This window comes from Homo sapiens, chromosome 10 (genome assembly GCF_000001405.40).
Source record: "Homo sapiens chromosome 10, GRCh38.p14 Primary Assembly".
Classification (NCBI taxonomy): Eukaryota; Metazoa; Chordata; class Mammalia; order Primates; family Hominidae; genus Homo; species Homo sapiens.
In genome coordinates this window covers 50,457,997-50,479,591 of record NC_000010.11, presented here as the reverse complement: position 1 = coordinate 50,479,591, position 21,595 = coordinate 50,457,997, and the positions used below count along the sequence as shown (strand labels likewise).

The following is a 21,595-nucleotide window of genomic DNA, read 5'->3' as shown; positions in this document are numbered from 1 at the left end:
TGGGAAAAGTAAGAAAAAAATATAATGCGGTTCAGAAAGATTTTCACTTACTAAAGGAGAATATAAAAAATTTAGCTCAGAAAGTCACTTTTCTGTTAACTCGACAGTTAATCTCCAATATATTGTTCAATATCCAAGAGTTTTGCTAGATTTCTGTTTTGCCTTGGGACTCCTAAGGGACACAATGCTTGGTAGCCCATAGTTGTTACTACTTTAATCATGCAAATCTAGGACATTAGGGCAGTGAGTTAGTGCATGAATGATTCTTGGGCACCTTAGATCATACTTGCTAGTAAGGTCCTCTTTGTCTCTGCATATTGCTGGCCTGGATGGACACTTATCTTTTGGCTGAAGAATACATCCAATGGAGAGAACCCAAGAGCCAAGCTAAGTGAATCAGTTTCACTAGGACATTAATTTCTAAGATGTAGTCCTTGGAGTTCTGGAGAGCAAAAGATGGTGCATTACTGGAAATTCACTATACTCATTAACATATTTAAGGCTGGAGAAATTCTGGAGCAAAGAACCAAAGGTAACTGCAGACAAAGAAGGGTTTTTAATGGAATGTGACTGGCATCTAGGAACTGGTTGGGGGGTGGATGGCCCCTGAAAAGAAAGGTTGGAAACTGAATGGGAGAAAGAGGGGACTGATCTTACTGATCAAGGTGGTTCCTGTACCTTGTATGGGAGTAACATGAAATCTTTAATTCCCCAAATCTAAGTACACTATGTGGTTACAACAGGGGCAATTTTACATTTGTGTGAAGCTTGAAATGGTTTCCTAATTGAATCGATTGTTGTAGCTTTGAAAAATTGTGTTTAAATGACATTTTTGTAAAATACAAAAATAAATTCCTATTTTTAATCTCAGTAGGAGACTTTTACTTGCAAGAATCTTTATGATTTCTGCTGTGTAAATCCTTTGTGTAAATGTATTTTTATGCATCAGGTTACTTATATTAAAAAACTCCTCTGTTGATTTTCAGTTGATAGGTTTTCTTATAACATTTACAAAAATGGATGGTACAATTAACCTCCTACTCACTGACCCTGTAAAGAGAAATCATTTGGCTCTATTTTTTTTGTTAATGTCTACAATATGTCCTTTAAAGAAGTCTTATCAAGGGATAGATAGGTAGAGAATCCTAAGCCCCTATTCTGGGGAGTTGAAAGGTTTTAAGGATTTAGAAATTTTTGCTTACAAATACATGTGTTACTTTGCTAATTTAGAGGTATAGCTATTTAGTTCAGAAAACTAAGGATAAGGCCATTATATTGGGGACAAAAATATTTTATTTCTTAGTAGATGGGATCCCTTTACTTTCTTGGTTATGTGTTCCAGCTGTCTTCATTGTGTGGATCTGACTGTGTTTTTAGCTATGTTTTTACACACATGTACCATCTTCTACATGCATTTACTTGGATTTTATTTATATTATATCTGTTAAGAAGCAGATTCATGACATACATCTATGCAGTTGGAATTCAAGGCTGTCCATCAGTTGTTACCCACTGATGTACGTAACAGACTGGGAATGTAACTTGCTTTACAAGTGAAATTGTTATGTCATTGCCATTTGTTCATTACCATCTGTATCACTCTGTCTGATTTGCATGATCTATGTATTAGCCTGCCCTCACACTGCTGTAAAGAACTACTGGAGACTAATTTATAAAGAAAAGAGGTTTAATCAGCTCACAGTTTTGTTGGATGTACAGGCTTCTGCTTCTGGGGAGGCCTTAGGAAACTTACAATCGTGGCAGAAGGAAAGGGATCAGGCACATCTTCACATGGCTGGGAAGGGAAAGAGAGAGTGGGAGGAGGTACTACACATGTTTTAGCAAGCAGATCTTGTGAGAACTCTATCATGAGACAGCACTAGGGAGATGGTGCTAAACCATTAGAAACCACACCCATGATCCAACCACTTCCCACCAGGCCCCACCTCCAACACTGGGAATTAAAATTCAGCATGAGATTTGGGTGGGGACACATAGCCAAAGCATATCATTCTGCCCCTGGCTCCTCCCGAATCTCATGTCCTTCTCACATTTCAAAACACGATCATGCCCTCCCAACCATCCCCCAAAGTCCTAACTAATTCCAGCATTAACCAAAAGTCCAGGTCCAAAGTCTCATCTGAGACAAGGCAAGTCCCTTTCACCTATGAGCCTGTAAAATAAAAAACAAGTTAGTTAATTCCAACATACAATGGGAGTACAGGCATTGGGTATATGCCCCCATTCCAAAAGGAAGAAATTGGCCAAAACAGAGGGCCTATAGGCCCCATGCAAGTCTGAAACCCAGCAGGGTAGTCATTAAATCTTAAAGCTGCAAAATAATCTCCTTTGCCTCTGTATCTCACATCCAGGCCACACTGATGCCAGGCATGGACTTCCAAGCTTTGGGCAGCTCCACTCTTGTGGCTCTGCAGGGCTCAGCCCTCATGGCTGCTTTCATAGACTGGCATAGAGTGCCTGCAACTTTTCCAGGTGCATGATGCAAGCTGTTGGTGGATCTACTATTCTGGGGTCTGGAGGAAGGCAGCCCTCCTCTTGCAGCTCCACTAGGCAGTACCCCAGTAGGGACTCTGTGTGGGGGCTCCAACCCTACATTTCCCCTCTGCACTACCCTAGTAGAGGTTCTCCATGAGGGCTTTGCCCCTGCAGCAGACTTCTGTCTGGACATCCAGATGTTTCCATATAATGTCTGAAATCTAGGTGGAAGCCCTCAAGCCTCAACTTTTGACCTTTGTGCACCTGCAGGTTTAACACCACATGGAAGCCTTGTTGGCTTCTGGCTTGCACCCTCTGGAGCAGTGGCCTGAGACTTATCTGGACCTTTTTAGTCATGGCTAGAGCTGGAGTGGCTGGGATGCAAGGAGCCATGACCTGATGCTGCCCAGCGCAGTGGTGTCCTAGGCCTGGCCCACAAAAGTATTTTTCCCTCCTAGACCTCCTGGCCTGTGATGGGAGAGACTGCCACAAAGGTCTCTGAAGTGCATTGGAGGCATTTTCCCTGTTGTGTTGGCTATTAACGTTCAGCTCCTCTTTACTTACACAAATTTCTGCAGCTGGCTTGAATTTCTCCTCAGAAAATGGGTTTTTCTTTTCTACCATGTCTTTCCTGTCTTCTTATGAGCCCTGCAAACTGTTCTAACCTCTGCCTGTTACCCAGTTTCAAAGTTGCTTCCACATTTTTGGGTATCTTTATAGCAGTGCCCTGCTTCTCTTATAACAGTTCCCTTCCCTTCCCTCCCCTCCCCTCCTCTCTCCCTCCCCCTCCCCTCCCCTCCCTTCCCTTCCCTTTTTTATTTTGAGACAGAGTCTTGCTCTGTTGCCCAGACTGGAGTGCAGTGGCACGATCTTGGCTCACTGCGACCTATGCCTCCTGAGTTCAAATGACTCTCCTGCCTCACCCTCCTAAGTAGCTCAGATTATAGGCACACGCCACCATGCCTGGCTAATTTTTTTTTTTTTTTTTTTTTTTTTTTGTATTTTTAGTAAAGACAAGATTTTACAGTGTTGGCCAGGCTGGTCTCGGACTCCTGACCTCAGGTGATCCGACTGCCTCGGCTACCCAAAATGCTGGGATTACAAGGTGTGAGCCACTGCACCCATCCCCTACTTTCTGTATTAGTCTGTTCTTGTACTGCTATAAAGAACTACCTGAGACTGAGTAATTTATACAGAAATGAGGTTCAATTGGCTCAAAGTTATGCAGGCTGTACAGGCTTCTGCTTCTGGGGAGGCCTAAGGAAATTTAACAATCATGGTGGAAGGTGAAGGGGTAGCAGGCACATCTTTACATGGTTGACAGGAGAATGGTTGGGGAGATGCTACACACTTTTTAACAAGCAGATCTGGTAAGAACTCTGTCATGAGATTGCACTAGGGGGACGTTGCTAAACTATTAGAAACTACTCCCATGATCCAGTCACCTACCACCAGGCCCCACGTCCAAAATTGTACAATTCAACATGAGATTTGGGTAGGGACACAGAGCCAAACTATATCAACCTGGCTTCCAAATAACATGGACCAGTTATTCATAGCCTGATGAGTTATATATTTACCATTTATTGTGAACAACAAATACCTTTCTAGATGTTGTAATGGACTAATTTTTAAAATGGACTGTTACTGCTAAAGAGTAATTTTTGAAAAGTTAAAAGCATATTGCATGCAGACATAAAATGAACGTATATCAAAGGTTCATTCAGTTCAGTTAATGAGGGAATTAACTGAGATGAATTAAAGGCAAATTTGAGAAACTGAAACCACCCCCAGGAATGCTGAAATAAATGTATCAATATGTAACAAAATTGGTTAATATCCATAGAGCAATAAAATGTAATGTTTGGGGTTATCTTTTCTTCCAGGTAGATATCAATCATATCTCTACCGGACAACATTTATTTACATTGCTATGGACAAGAATTATTTGTAATTACTGACAGTGAAATGGAAAGTTAGTCAAAAGTGCATAGCCTTATTGACTTGGATATTCTGGAAACATACCCAGGAATCTCTTTTTCCCATTTCTCAGTCTTGGACAGTTTTTCTGATATTTAAAAAAATGCTTTTGGAGCAGTTTTATTCATTGAATACTCACAGTTTCAGACTCTGAGATAAATGCTCTTTTAATTTATGTTAAAGCCTGAATAATAAGAATATTTATATATCCAATATCTTATTTTGTTATCATGCCCCCTGCTCCCCAAAGTGCAGTATTGAAAATGTATGGTTAAGGTTGTAGCATCATTTCTGATCTAAGTATTTCCTCTAATGACTAAATGGATAGCACTCTCTCTGCTTCTTAGTTTTTGTTTTGTTTTGTTTTGTTTTGTTCTGTTTTGTTTTTAAGGGAGAGGCAGGGCATTGAGTATAAGTAAATATTTTAAATGAAAAATAGAACAATCAACAGTATGAAAAATTCTAATATTCTGTGTACCTATGCCTAAAATGAGATAGCCTATGAACTGACTCATCTTAAGAATTTTTATAGAAAAATTTGTTAGTTCTAATTATGAATTTAATAGAATGAGAATTCATCATGTGACAGCCAAGGTAATGAAGAATGTTTTCCACCACTGTCCAAACACTGCCCACAGAGAGGCTTCCTTTGTCTCAGGGTGCCTGTACTGAGATTATAAACCATGCAAGAGAACTTAGAGAGAGGGTCTAATAAACAGACCTCACCTTATAGGTGAAGAACCAGAATTCCAGAGGAGACAAGTTGAAAATAATAAAACTCCTTTAAAAACAAAACAAACAAAAAACCTGACTTCAGATTTCTTACTAAGTGATGTAAGCTGTTTCCTCTAATTATCTAAAAGAAGGTGGTTTTATCCTTACTAAATATGTCAGTGGTAGGTCTTGATATAAGATTTTAACTTAGGTTGCTATCATAAGCTCTGTCTTTTGGTTGCAAAAACCAGGTCACTCTCACTCAACAAAAGGGTTCAAGATATAGATCTCCTGAGACCTCAGGTTGGGAACTGGCTTCAGTCCAGTACTTGCTTTCTGTGGCAGACTTGGCCCATGATGATTGTCCTGAGCTTAAGTGTTCCTCTTGACCTTTCACCATGACATCTAACTGGCAAGTTCCTTTAGGGTTTCTTGATTCTAGTTCCTGCAGCAGCAAAACTGATTGGCTGAGTTCATCATTTTAGCAAGTAATCAAACCCAAGCCCTAGGCTTCTGGCCAGCTTCTGAATGGCTCTCTTTGGGTCAAGTGTTCTTTCGGGTCCAATCAGCTATGGCTGTGTGCTTGTGGAGTTGTGTCAGGTGATATAAGATGGCAATCGAAAGACAACTGGGCCTGAGAATATGGCAGAGTCCCCCAGAAATGGGAGTGGGTGAACAGATTCCCTGAAATATGTCTACTACAAATCTGGTTTGAATATATTAGTTTATTCTTGGTTAAAAACATTTCCTGTTATCTGCATTGTAATTTGGTTTTATATTTTAGTCTGTTTCTATATTGGAGTAAACTCGAAGTTTTTTATTAGTCCATTTTATTCTTATTTGCTTGCTAAATTTTGCTTCTTTTAGAAACACAGAGACAGGTTTTGAGACTTGGAAAGTTTATTATGATAGCTTGGTTTTGACAATTCATGTTGACTTTTCTTTTGAAGCCATAATGTTCCTTCAAAGTATTTTAAAAGGAAATTAAGAAAGTCTCATTGTTCTATGAATTCCTTTAATTTTCAATAGATATTTATTCTCCATATCTAAAAAGAATCCAGGTTCAAAAGGCAAGGCATTTAGTTTTAAAAATATTTATTAAATTGCTGGATTATATACTGTATATTTGAGATATGACATAACCCATGCTTGTGGGACTTTCTGACTATTAGGGAGAGAGTATTACTGTTCCAGACAGAGGCTGCTTGGACTACAGTAGATTAAACACAGTGTAGAGAACTATTTTTTTTTAAGCATTAACAGTTTTAGTTAGTTAAACTAAACATGTTAGTACTACTTTAGTTAAACATGTTGGTAGTGGAATAAGACTGTGTGAAGACAGTTTTAATGGAAATTGTATTATGTTCTAATATAGTGTGGTGGTAATTACCTAATTCCTAATTCAGATTTTACTAGATCATATTTCCATTGTTCTTTCTAAGCCAGGTGATGGGAATGGATTAACAGTGTGGGGAGCAGGATAGAGGAAGGGCATTACAGGGAACTGCAGGAGCAAATACCTAGCAATGAATAACTCTTCTGAGGATGGGTAGTAGTCTAGTCTTGAAAATAATGACTAGTGTGGAGAAAAGGGAACCCCTGTGCACTTTTGGTGGGAATGAAAATTAATACAATCATCATGGAAACCAGTATGGAGATTTGTCAGAAAACCGAAAATAGAATTAGCATACAGTTCAGTAATCTCACTTCTAAAAATGTATCCAAAGAAATTTGATCTGAATGTAGAAGAGATATGTGCACTCCCATGTTTATTGTGTCCTTATTCACAATAGCTCAGATATGGAAACAACCTAGGAGTCCATTATCAGATGAATGGATAAAGAAAATATGGCATATACACACTATGCAATACTATTCACCCTTTAAAAAGTAGGGGCAGGATAGAGATAATTCTGTCATTTGCAACAACATGGATGAACCTGGAGGACATTATGTTACTGCATGATCTCACATATATGTAGATTCTTGAAAAGTCAAACTCATAGAAGTAGAGGGTAGAATGGTGGTTACCAGAGGCTGGGATGTTTAAAGGGGAGAAGGGGATGGAGAGATAAATTGGAGGAATAAGTTCAAGAAATCTACTGTAAGGAATGATGACTGTAATATTAATAAATAATGCATCATAGATTTCAAAATTGCTATAAGAATAGGTTTTACATGTTTTCACTATAAAAAATAAGTATGTGAGGTGATAGATGTGTTAGCCTGATTTAATCTTTCCACATTGTAAACATATATCAAAATACATCACATTATACTCCATAAATATATACAATTATCTGTCAAATAAAAAGAAAATTAAAAAAGAAAATAATGAATAAATATAGAAAGTAAAGGTGGTCTTGACAATAACTGAGAAGAATGATTTGATTTAATTGGTAACACAAATATAATATGATTTTACTGGGTGCGAACCAATGTCTGTCTTATGTACTGAGAACTCATTAAGCACAGAGATAATGTGGCTCTTGCCCGCGAAGAAGCTAGGATTAAATAATGTAGAAGATTATTTTGGTATATCTGTGGGTAAGGATTTAAAAACAAACAAAACTGCTCTCATTTTGTTTGGTTTTAGTAATGCTCTACTGGAGGCAGGGCATTACTGATGTGGCCCTTGATAACAAGTCCTGTGATGTTAGGAAATTATTTCTTCAATTTGTGAATTTCTCAGTGAGAGTTCTAGGAACCTCAGATACTGCTGGGCAACCTGCAAAGGCTAAAACAGGGATTGAGATTTGTATTTGGGGAGGGAGGCATAATTTGAAGATTTAATTTGAATAAAGTCTTTGTGTTTAAAAGATCCTTTTTTATATCTCATACACACTAATTCCACCAGTAAACCAGGAAAAGTGTTTGCGTCTCATAGACTTGTTTCAAAGATTCAAATGAGTTACCTAAAAATTTAGAATTGTGTCTGGCCCCTACCATGGAAGTGGTTGTGTTGGTTGATGTTGTGCTTTAGCTCGGTGTTATGACTCCCTGGTACCACATAGAAATGTAAATACTGATTTACGTGGTTTTTTTCTCCTTGCTAAACTGAGCTCCTTCAGGGAAGCTGCTCTTTCATCTCTATATAATCCCACCTTCATGCTCAATAAATGTTTGCCGAATGAAGGGATAAAGTACCTCTTCTTTTCTGCAGCATTAAGCAAAGGCACTTGGTCACTCTTTCTGGGAAGGTGAGAGGAGATGTTGTTTGTTTTGAGGTCATGCTTAAAACTGGTTTAGTTTCCAGTCTTTTACCAGTTTTGCTTTGTTCCCATGAACCTATCTCACCATTGCCTGGAGCATAGTTGCTTTCACTCTTTATCATCTTTTTTTAGTAACTACTTCCTTAAGGGCATGTGGTATATTTCTTGGGAATTTTTATGCCTCATTAAATCCCTGATTCAGCTCCCACATTTTTAGTAGATTGCAATGTGTAAGTCTGTTCTTTCCTTCTAGGTGAACCTGTTATTCTAAACTCCTCTATGCAAATGCGTTTTACAGGAAAAGGGAAACCGGTTTGAGAGGCCAGTTTGGAAGTTGCTGAACTCCCAGGGTAGTTAATGGATGGTCTTTTTTATTTTTTGTTTTCTCTTACATCTCAGCCAGCAGTTTTGAGAGAGGAGCTCTGTAACTTGCCCAAGACAATCATGCTTGGCTGTAAATTGAGGCAAAATTTGAGGAAGGGCTTTACCCTTTGCATTACTCTTTTAATCTAGAAAAGGTAAGAATATAGTGTAGTGAAGGGAAGATTAAGTCTTTCCTTAAGTGTAGTGGAAAGTCCTCCCTTGTGAAGAGAGCTACCAGTGATACCAGCTGCTGGCAGGAAGAAGCTTTGAGGGTGACTGCAGCAAGAGACTTGCAACCTTCAGTCACCAAAGCTAGAGACCATGCCTGGGGCTTTTTGACAGCAGCAGGATCCTGTGTGAGAGAGAGTAAAGGTTCTCCTCCAAGCAGAAGAAAGGAAGAAAAGGTTCAGTTAAACTCTGTTTATTGAAAGTTAGATATTAAAGGAAGAAAACACTAACATTGTATAAAGGAAGAAAACACAAACTTTCTACTTTAGATTTTGTATTCTCTTAAGCCAGGCTCTAATTTGCAAAACATGCTGTTTACAAGTAAGAATGAGAAAGTTTTCAGTACTTTTTACTACTCTAATAAAATGCAGTTTTAATGGAGTGCTCTTCCTGGTCTCTCTATATTATTTATTTCTTATTACACACCATCTTTCCCCTGAGAATTGACTACTGAACTCTAATAATAGGGTGTGGGACAGGGCTGCCAAAAACGAAGCATGCCTGCTGCAATTTCCACATCGTGTGTCCATAGCAGACAATGGCAGTTGATTTGGGCACTGTCTTTCGGTGTTGCTTCAGGAAACCACTGCCTGTTGATCAATCAGATTGGCCCCAGAATGAAACCACTGCCCCCCACAATCTAAGAGGAAGTAATAAGTTTTAAAAGGGTTGGCCCTATAAATGTAAACTTGTAAAGTGGGAGCTTGCCAATGCCTTGCAGAATTTTGTGAACTTTAATCTTTTCTTTCCACAACCTTGGTTCATATGCCCATTCCTTTTTACCCTCTGAACCTTCTCTTACTCCAGTGTGTTTTCCTTGAGAGGAAGTCACCAGTAGTAAACACATAGGAGTTCGAGTATTGCTATACCAGAATTATTGAATAGGGGAAGAGTACCTTATTCTGTACCACACTCCCCCCACCACCAGTATTCTGAATGTCATTAGGTTAATGTCTACAAAGACTCATGCCGTACTTTGCTCCATCCTAAATTGAAAGTTTAGAGCCACAGCCTTTTAAGTATAATTTGGGTAATTTTTTTCCTTAGATGATTTGCTGTGTATGGCATGCATTGTTAACTTGCTTACTCATAGAGTCCCAGAAAGAACTTTTTGCATTGTATCTTCATGGCATATGTCCACTGAAAAATCAAGCCTGCAGCTTTTACTATGCATTCCATGTGCTAGATCCCATAAAAGGAAGATCACCAGGGTGCTCTCAGAGGCTTTAGCAGCTATCCTAAAAAGAGTCCCTCTAGACCTTCTCAAGCCACTCACTGACAGAATACTTACTCCATCTCACAGGAGGAAGGAGTGTCAAGATCCTTTACTTGGGAAGATAGCAAAAGCAATTTGAAACTGGAAAATAGTGAATGAATCACTAGATGATTTTGATTGAAAAACAAATTCAAGTATGTTCATCATTAAGGCAGAGCTGTTATGGTCAACACAATAGCCTAAAGGTATCCGACACGTAATTTGGAACCCTTTCCCATTTCCTCAAAGTTTGACCTTGGACAAATTTGCAACCTTGGACAAGTTACAACATAACCTCTGTTATGAGCCTAATGTCTTCATCTGGTTAAGTTGGGGATTCTAAGCCCTTCACCCTCCACCCTTTACCCAACACACACACATAGGGTTCTTGTGGGGTTAAGTGTAAAGGCATATCATGATGTCTGATGATCATTTATTGTCACTGAGATACTACTTTGTGTTCACCAGTGAGGATGTAGGAAGATCTTTTTAGCTACATGTCTTTGATATATTACATATTGCCTTAAAAGGTAGATATTTTATTTTCTTCCTGTCAAATGCCAGAATGGAAAGTGCCCTTTTTCAACTATGTTCCTATTTTGGCCCCTGCTTTTTGAAAGTACTTGTGATAGAAATTAAATATTCATGCAGGTGTGGCATGCCATTTGAAGATGACACTGTCATGGGTTCTTCAATAATTATCTGGTGGTAATTTGCCCTTTGCATCTGTGGCTATCTCTGAGGGACACTGTTCTTCTGAGTTCTCCCGTTACAGTGGGAAAGCACACAGTGCCATAAAACCAGTTAACGTGTCAGAAAATTATCCCTTATGAAATTTAGTTTCTTTTGAAACTTCTTTGATGTACAAAAAGATAACGTGGGCTTACTTTACAAGTGACAAAACTATTTCACTTTCTGGTAATTCAGAAGACTTCTCAGGTCCTGAATAACTTGATTCTTTTCCTTTAAATGATTTATGGGCAGGGACAAAACAGCATATTCTGTATCTAATTATAAGGCTTCATTTTCATGAATCTCTCTCTTTTTGTTGATGGCAAATCTAGCCCTGCATTCAAGCTGTAAAGAGGAATAGCTTTATTTCACCCACTAACTGTTTACATCAGACACCATATTGGTGATTTGAGACTCAGTATTGGTATCTGTCAACTGGGGATAGCAAAACAGGCTTCATAGGAATTGGAAGATTAAGCGAGATCATGCATTAGTAATTTCATCTAGCTTCTAGCACAGACTAGCTTGTTTACTATCTTTATAGGTATTTCTGTACCTATAGAAAGAAGGCCACCGTCCCTCCCCACTCCCTTCTCTCCCCTCTGCTCCTGCCTTCTCCCATCTTATTCCCAGAAGTCCATTCCTCCTGGACAACAGGAAGGCCCTTCCCCTTCTGTTTCTATCATAAACTGCTTCTCTGTCCTTTGGTCTCTGGAGAACTGGCAGATTGACCTCATACAATCAACTAATCAGCCAAAACTTTTTCCTCAGACATGTTAACATCTTTCTGAAATAATACCACTTTGCAGTCAGCCACTACTTGCTCCCCTTTCCTTAAAGCATTTTATTTTTGTCCAGATACAGGGATTCTTAGACTCCCAGACAGATCCCTAAATAATTATACCTAGCCCAACAGGCAAAACTAATGTGTGCTATTTGAAGGCAGGGCAGTGTTGACTTTTTGGGAGAGTGGTGTTCACTTTAAGAAAATTTATTAAGCCACCCAAGATTTCTGGGCTTACTAATTTTTTAAAAAATAGGCTTTTTCCCCTTTCTGCATGTACCCTAATTCATGTGTATATTTTACTTACAAAGGGTCATATTTCATTTTTAGCTGAGAAAGTCTTTCATGAAATAAAACATGGAAGCATTTTTAAGCCTTTAGGGTGATGTGGGTTAGAGTTATTTATAAGCTGTTTGATCATACACTTATGTATGTGGTCTGTGGTTGTTCCACTTAACTTGCTATTGATTGCATTTTGGTAAAAATGAAAATTTATCCCAGGGTGGTAATTATTATGGTTTGAAAAATACGCTTTCTTGCTTCTTTATCTTTTTTATATTGTCAGTTAGCAGTTATTTACCTAAATTGAGAGGAGATAATTTATAAAGGTCCATGGTTTTAAAACTCATGTTATACCATCAGATGCATTTGGTGTGCAGTTTTTTTATTGGCATTGGATTTGCATGCTTGTTTCTGCTTGGCGTTGTCTAATAGAAGTGTACTCTGAATACCATGACAGCCAGAAATTAGTTGGGAATTGGTGAAATAATGCTTTTTTTTTCCTATGTATACGTAACAAGAAGTGAATAATAGTTAACTTGGATTTTAGTTTTTTTTCTTATAAGCAGCTCATTGCACAAAGAATGCACTTTAATTTACTTATTACTTCTTCTAGATTGGAAAGAAGACTGATGAAGAAAAATAACAGCATGATTCAGGTAAACTGATTTTTAAATTATTTACCTTTTATGCTTAATTTGTATTTTCTGTGTTCTCCCAATGAGAGGATCTAAACAAACAATTTTTGTGGGCAATTGGAATATATAAGGAATATCTTGGGGATATAGATGAAATAGTCAAATACATATTACCATTTAATTAATTTAGTTATGTACATATTTTGAACAAGTATGTATTTATACAAAATGGGATATTATAACTAATGCTTTTTTCCTACCCCAGAATAATTTTCTTCCAACTCTTTACATACATATCTGACATCAGTGTCTTCATTATTTGAGTCACATTTTTTAAGCATTCAATATTATTTTCCACAGCCTGTTATCATTTTAGGTGTTTGCAGTACAGCACTTTTGGAGTCTATGTATGGCACTCTATTTGGAAATTTTATCCCAAGCCACAAGTAATCATTTGCATAATGTTAGGACAGTTGCTGTTTTCATTCTTTCTGTGTAGATGAACATTGAAGATCTCTACTGTGTAACAATTTGTAGAACTGCTTTCTTAAGTCTTTCTCCCTTCCTCCCTCCTTTCCTTCCTTCCTTCTTTCCTTTCATTTATTTATTTTATTTGTTTAGAGGTAATTGCATGTATATTGTTTAAGAATTCAAATAGTACTCTAATAGCCATTCTTTGTTCTTTTTATACTCTTATTGCCCCTTTGCCTAAAGATAGCCCTTTTCAATCCTTTTAGTTGTATTTTCCAGTATTTGTCTACCTATTTCTAAACAACACATCATATGCTCTAAGTGCCATTTACTGATTCCTTTTAAAATCTTAGACTTATGCATTGATTTCCTGCCGGGGAGTTCTCTCTCATAGACCACCCTTTACCCTTACTACATACCTACTTTTCCTGTCTCTTTATTTTCTTGATGCAGTCATTGTTACAGTCTATATTTAGATAAGTATTAATGTCTACTTTATTATTTTTTTTGTGGCTGAGCTCTGTGATATAAGTTGAGATGTCTCAAGTCATTCTGCCTCCAAGTTGGTTGTTTGTGAACTGTTTTTTTTTTGTCTCTGGAAAATGTTTCATGCTTTTCTTTATGCCCAGAATTCTGCAGTTTCATATTGGGACACTTTTTGTTGTTTTTGTCCTCTCAGCTTGGAAACTGATGTCTCTCAATTTGTAAATTTTCTTGTACTATTTCTTTGATAATTTCCCCCCCATTCTCTCTTTTCTTAGTCTGTTAGTTGGGTATTTTCACCTACTAGTTTGATCTCTAATTTTCTTAAGTCTTACTCTTAGCTATTTTCCATCTTTCTGTGTTTTTCTTCAACTTTCTGAGAGGTTTTCTTAGTATCAATTGAATTTTTAATTTCTGCTAGCAGGTTTGTAATTTTGAACTTAATTTTTGAGGGTCTATGGATATTTTGTTTTTAAAATTAGGATCCTGTTTTTGTTTGATAGATGCAATATTTTCTCATTTTTTTTTGAGAATATGAATTGAATTATTTTGCTGTTTTTTGCTGTTCTTTGCACATTTTCCTGTGTGTTCCCTTTATCTTCTTGTTTTGATCCCTGATTTTAATGTTAAAGGCTCTTCCCAAATGAGTGCTGGGGATTTAGTTGTCTGTTCATACTTAAGAGTGAGACAATACAAAATGGACCGCAAATTTGTTACGTGGTTGGCTTCACTCTAAGGTCTTTGGGCAGAGACCTTACTGGCCATTTCAGTGGGTGATTATCATGTATCAAAATCTGCAGATTTTTTTCCTTGGACCTTTCAGTTTCTCCAAAATGGAATTCTTTGTTTACTTTTTTTGTGGAGTGTAAGCCTACCTATGAGGATTAAGGGGCACCACAGAGGAGTGAGGAGGAAGGGAGCCAGAGATCTCACCATCCAAGCCTGAGAATGCCTAGATCCAATGCTTTCGTTTCAGCCTTATCTGGAGTCTAGGTTTGAAGTGTTGCTGTATCATTTTCTCCAGAGGGCAAACTGCCCCTTCTTATAGGAGTAGGGATGGTTTGTTTGGCTCTACCAGGTGAGGGAGAGGATCTGGGGTTCTAACTCCCTCCCTCTCTCCCTTCTTCCCTCCCTCCTCCCCTTCTTTGTTCCACACAAATTTATCATCTTACAGTTTTGTGGGTCAGAAGACTGATGCAGGTCTCACTGGGCTAAAATCAACGGGCCAGGCGCAGTGGCTCATGCCTGTAAACACAGCACTTTGGGAGGCCAAGGCGGGCAAATCACTTGAAGTCAGGAGTTCAAGACCAGCCTGGCCAACATGGCGAAACCCCGTCTCTACCAAAAAATACAAAAATTAGCCAGATGTGGTGGTGGATGCCTGTAGTCCCAGCTACTCAGGAGGCTGAGGCATGAGAATCATTTGAACCCTGGAGGCAGAGGTTGCAGTGAGCAGGGATTGTGCCACTGCACTCCAGCCTGGGCGACAGAGAGACCCTGTAGCAAAACAAAACAGGTGTCCACAGGCTGCACTCTTTTCCAGAGGCTCTGGGGGAGAGTACCTTTCCTTGTTCTTATTTTTTAGCTTCTAGCTGCTGGCTGCATTTCTTGGCTCCTGGCCCTTTTCCATCTTTAAAGTCAGCAGTGGTCAAATGGTCTCACATTGCATTACTCTGACTTCCTTTTCTGTCTACCACTTCCACTTTTAAGGACCCTGGTAATTACATTAGGCCCATTCAGATAATCCAGGATAATCTCTTGTTTGTTTTTATTGTGGTAAAAAACACATAATATAAAATATAACCATTTTAAGTGTACAGTAGTGTTAACTATGTACACATTGTTGTGCAAAAGCTCTCTAGAACATTTTATGTTGCAAAACTGAAACTCTATACCCATTGAACAGCAACACTCCTTTATCCTGCCTGCCCAGCCTCTGGCAACTACGAACCACCTTACGAACCACCTTCTGTTTCTGTAAATGTGGCTACTTTAAATACCTCATATAAGTGGAATCATGTAATATTTGTCTTTTTGTGACTGACTTGTTTTACTTTGCATAATGTCCTCAGGGTTCATCCATGTTGCAGTATATAAGAAGATTTCCTTCTTTTTAAGGTTGAATAATATTCCATTGTATGTATATACCATGTTTTCTTTATTCATCTGCCATTGGATGTGTGGGTTGCGTCCACCTCTTAACTATTGTGAGTAGTGCTTAAGTGAACAGGGGTCTGCAAATATCTTTTCAAGACCCTGCTTTCAATTCTTTCAGATGCATACCAGAAGTGAGCTTACTGGATCATATAGTAGTTCTATTCTTAATGTTTTCAGGAACTGCCAGACTTTATTCCATAGTGGATGTACGATTTGACATTCCCACCAACAGTGTACCAATATTCCGATCAACTTCTCCACATCTTTGCCAACACTTGCTATTTTCTATTTTTGTTTTTGATAGTGGTCATTCTAATGGGTGTGAGATGATATCTCATTGTGGTTTTGATTTGCATTTTCCTGATGATTAGGGATGTTAAGCATCTTTTCATGTACTTATTGACCATTTGTATATCTTCTTTGGAGAAATGTCCATTCAAGTCCTTTGCCAATTTTTAATTATTATTTAGCTTTTTGTTGTTGAATTGTGGGCATTCTTTATATATTCTGGATATTAACACTTTGTCAGATATATGGTTTACAAATATTTTCTGTGGGTTGCCCTTTCACTTGGTTGATTACTTCCTTTAGTTTTTAAGTTTGATGTAGTCCCATTTGCTTATTTTGTGTTTCCTTTTTACCTGTGTTTTTGATGTAATATCCAAAAAATCATTGCCAACTCCAATGTCATGAAGCATTTCCTCTATGTATTTTTTTTTCTTTTTGCTAGGAATTTTATAGTTTCAGGTCTTAATTTTAGGTGTTTAGTCCATCTTGAGTTAACTTTAATTTATGGTGTGGGGTAAGGGTCTTTTTTTTTAATACACACTTCACCACCCCCATCTTTTCAGTCTTCCCCACTCCCCTTCTGAGGAACCAGAAGCTCCATCATTTCCTAAGCATTTCTGTCACAGTCAGCTGGCTTTTTGCTTCACAGGCAGGGAGGTTCCCACCAGCTCTGCTCGACTCCACAGTCATCTCCGCTTTCCAGACATCAGTGATGCCTATTGTTTGCTCTAATATAGTTTTCTATTCTTTTTGTCCTTATGGATTTATATCTTTTTTCGTTTTTACTAACATTTTGATGGGCATTTAGAAGGAAGCAGAGATAAATAGGCCTATTCCATTGGCCATCTATAACCCCCAAATCTGTATTGCTCTTTAAAATAATATTTAAAAGGACTTTATAAAATGGTTTCTCATATTTCCTATTGTGACATCCAACCTCTAGAAATAATTGTTTCTATTTCTTTGCTTCCTTCTTGTTAGCCAGTTTCTGTCAAGTGACCCATAAGCATCGAAAGCTAGCATTAAGTGTACTTGTTACATTATTTCATTATTCAAAATAGACTGAGATTATTGTCTGTAATATGAGACCTGGTAAGGTTTTGAATTTAAGATGATACTCTCTTTCCTGAGGTATAATCTTTTTTAAGCTTTTGACTTTATCTTTGGGTTTATAAACCATATGTTGGTATTAGGAGATGGTGCCCTTTTATATAAATATATTTTACTTCAAAGCTTTATTAATTTTCTTTTTGAGACAGGGTCTCACTCTGGCACCCAGGCTGGAGTGCAGTGACACAATCAGCTCACTGCAGCCTCAACCTCCTGGGCTCAAGTGATTCTCCTGCCTCATCCTCCCAAGTAGCTGAGAATACAGGCACACACCACTGTGCATTGTTATTTTTTTTTCTTTTTGTAGATATGAGGTCTCGTTTTGTTGCCTAGGCTAGTGCTGCAATTATAGGCATGAGCCACCATGCCCGGCCTGAAACTTTAATTGAATACTTTTAAGCTAATGTAATGGCAAAAGAGTCCTAGTTTTTGTTTGTTTTATTTTATTGCTGTTTCAGTTGATAACTGCTTTCTTTGTACCTATGTTTGATTATTTACAGATGTAGCACCATTTCTTACAGATAGAATAAAGTATGATTAAAAGTTGGGAGGGTACGGAGGGATGCCTGGTCCTAAGTAAGTCCTTGGGACTATTGAGAGTAGTGGATTGTTTTGTTCTATAAGAATTGTTTCTTTATAGAATTAAGCCTGTTAGTTGGCTCAAGGTATCAGCTCTCCGGCTTGACAGCTGGAGAGCACCTATGATTTTTATCCTGGGGTCCAGGGATAGCTTTAAGGAGTTAACGATTGTCCTGAGATTTAAGTGGGGAGGGATAGAACAGGCTTAGTTTTCATCAGATACTCAATACTGCAGGGCTTATATGATCCTGAAAAGGGTTGAGAGCCTACTTCTTATAGATTATCACAGGAAAAAAAAGAAAATGTTACTGATGAAATTAAATATGATCGAACTAAAATATACTACCTTTCTGACTACCATTAGATTCTATATTCTTTCACATATAAGTACAAATTACTACAAATGAGGCACTAAATGAACAGCCCTCTTTGTTCTTTAATACAAGACATTATCTCTAGCTTCCTGATTATGCTACCAGGAAATGTGTACCATTTACACATATATAACTATAAAAGCTGTTACTTATGAGGGTAATGTTTTGGCCCCAGAGAGATCATGACACTTTTATAAATCAGCTTGTAAAAATGATAACTCAGTAGTTACCTTTGTTTTCAGTTTGAAGCTGAAACTTCAAACTTATACTTAATTTATGATAATCAGTTATTTGTTGGCAACTAAAAATAGTAGATAAATATATAAAAGGAGAAACACCTTTTATAGTTATAGGCCTAAGACTTAACTTTTAATTAGAAAAGATGGAGTAAGCTTTATATTATATGTATATATTATACTACTGTAAAAAATACAACAATTAAAAAGCTAGAAAAGAAAGAAAAAATGGGAGGAGGTAAGGAAGGTTCATTGTGAATTCTTTGTTTCCAAGTTTATAAGTACTTTAATCCTTTTATTTATAGTGAGCTGGACTGAATTTACACAATCTCTCTCAGCTTTAGAATTTTGTGATTCCGTTTTGAAGTGCTTAAACTGAAACTGCTTCTCTGTCCCAGGCACACCATTGAGTTCTTTGGGATGCCCGAAAGTGTCTGGTTGGGAAACATGAAATAGAAGACGAGAACCTGCCTCAGCAAGCGTACCTGAGAATACTTTTAAAGGAACCTGTTGATAAATGCAAAACAGTGGCTGTTGCAGGTATGTATTGACGGAGAACTTGGATTGAACCTGATGTGGCCCACTCTGCTCTACTCAGTCAAGTGGAGTCATTCTCTGGGAATGAGCTCTTGTCTTGAATCCCACTGTTCATAGGACAGAACTCTCAGGCCTGAAATACCTGGTGTCTGTCTTTCTGTAACCTTGACTGTGTGGTGGGATATCACTCGTCACTCTTTGATGAACTCTGATTCAGACCCTTGAGTGTCCTTCCCAATGCCTCAAGGACATTAGACTCTTGTCACATGAAAGTGATAGCAAATTTCTAGCTAAAGACCTCATTGCCTTCTTTCCTGGGAGTAGAGCAGTCAATGTCAAAGCTCAGCAAATGTGTCTCATAAACCAGCTGTTACTGGCTTTACTTTTCCCTGAACATCATCAAGGCCATTTCTGATTGGATGTGGTTGTATCAGATTGACCAGTTCCCTCTTAGTCATTTACTTTGACCTGCTTGTCTCTTTGACCCCTATTAAATGTTTACCTCATTTTCTTGTTTTTTTAGCCTTTAATTTTTATCTCCTCAACAATGTATCATCAAGATCAGGGGCACCCATTATTTCATATCCTGTGACCTTTGGTGGATGTCTGGCTTTGGATGCACTGGCTCTCTTTGTAAGGCACAGCCTGTGTTATTGTCATATGTCACCGTGATCCTTTAGGATTTTTGTAGTCTTTTTTTTTTTCCATCTACCAATGAAGAACACTACAAATGTACCTTGTGCTGAGTAATTTATGTGTCTTTGTCACACCATCATGAAAGCATTAAGCAAGTCCCATTTTGCAGATGAGGAAATAAGGTTCCAAGTGGTTAAACAACTTGCCTGCTATTCCCAGAGAGTAAGTGGCAGGAATGGGATTCAGCACTGAGTCTGTCTTGAATTGTGTACCATAGAAATAGTATGCCCTGCTGTATTCCCTTTTTGAAGCAGAGTTTTAAAAATATTCTTATTCAGCTGGGCGTGGTGGCTCACGCCTGTAATCCCAGCACTTTGGGAGACCAAGGCGGGCAGATCACCTGAGGTCAGGAGTTTGAGACCAGCCTGGCCAACATGGTGAAACCCCCTCTCTACTAAAAATACAAAAATTAGCCGGGCATGGTGGCGGGTGCCTGTAGTCCCAGCTACTTGGGAGGCTGAGGCAGGAGAATCACTTGAACCCGGGAGGCGGAGGTTGCAGTGAGCTGAGATCTTGCCACTGCACTCCAGCCTGGGCAACAAGAGTGAAACTCCGTCTAAAAAAAAAATTCTTATTCTTGTGGAATTTTAGTCTTCTCTACTTTTTTCAGCTTTTGCTACTTTCCCCCCATTTTGTGGCATTTTATTTGGTTTATAATTATAACACTTAATTTGAACCATTAAAAATAAGTATTTTCAACTTTTATTATTTTTATAATATCACTGAGAATATATTATTGGTATGAGACATTATTAAAATATGCCCTCTTTCTCACATAGGCTCTGATGTCTTCACTGATTCTGTTTTCTGAGTTGATTATGAGTCTAGCATGGGAGACGGGAGTGGACTTTTATATTTCTAATATGGTCCTACTAGTACAGAGTTATTGAAGATGACATAGAAGAATGATAAGATTTTGCCAGAAATATTCTTCCATAGTTCACAAAGTTGTTTTAGAACCTGAATTCTTTAAAATATAGAACATCTATTCAAGTACTTAGTTTTGGCTCAGTGACCACTTTCAATGTGTATAGCCAGGAAGTTGCACTATATAGAAGGATATAGGTTTTAAGTTTAAGTAAGTTTAAGAGTATATGTTATCTGATTTTTTTCAATAAGGGGCTAAATAATTTGAAATTTCTATATATTTAGGCTTCTAGAATGTTCTCATTAAATTAGTAGATGTACATACTGAAAAATATTTTAAATCACCGTAAAAATCCTGAGAGATAGATGTGGTCAACCTCACTGAAAGATGAATACACTGAGGTTTATAATATTGTGAAACTTACCCAAGCTCATGTGATTACAGAATAGAGCCGGCCGGAAGCGGTGGCTCATGCCTGCAATCCCAGCACTTTGGGAGGCTGAGACGGGCAGATCACGAGGTCAGGAGATTGAGACCATCATGGCTAACACGGTGAAACCCCGTCTCTACTAAAAATACAAAAAAAAAATTAGCCGGTCATGGTGGCAGGCGCCTGTAGTCCCAGCTACTCGGGAGGCTGAGGCAGGAGAATGGCGTGAACCCGGGAGGCGGAGCTTGCAGTGAGCCGAGATTGTGCCACTGCACTCCAGCCTGGGCGACGGAGCGAGACTCCACCTCAAACAAAAAAAAAAAAAAAAAAAAAAAAAAAAAAGAGAAAAAGAAAATAGCAGAGCCAGAATTGAACTTAGATCTATTTTTCACCAGCAATGTTTCTAACAATTACATTGCCTTGCTGATTATACACAGTGATGACATTTAGATCATAAACATGTCTAAGAATTTTCTTATGTTTAGCATTCAAACAAGGGCCGTCCTAAACAGCTAAATAAGCCTCATCCTCACAGAAGCGAAAGCTTCTAGATGGGCTTGGTGTTGTTCATCAACGAGGTTTTATCAGGATAGTGGCAATTCTGGTGAATGACGGACTGAGCCCCTCTTGAGAACTGGATGTGTCTGCTTGGGCTGCATGCCATTTCCCACCCAGTGCTTACCAT

At 38.2% G+C, this 21,595-nt stretch overlaps 1 protein-coding gene across 9 annotated transcripts in view; it reads left to right on the top strand.

Annotated features, from left to right (window-relative positions):
• The window catches only part of SGMS1 (sphingomyelin synthase 1), a 319,585-nt gene that overhangs the window by 145,593 nt on the left and 152,397 nt on the right, over positions 1-21,595 (top strand). For 8 of the 9 annotated variants that reach the window (XR_007061953.1, XM_047424974.1, XM_047424973.1 and 5 more), the window contains 2 exons: positions 355-12,702; positions 18,778-18,919. The gene's annotated coding sequence lies outside the window, so the exon portion shown is untranslated. The remainder of the gene's footprint in view (positions 1-354; positions 12,703-18,777; positions 18,920-21,595) is intronic. The other variant, NM_147156.4, reaches the window with a different exon arrangement.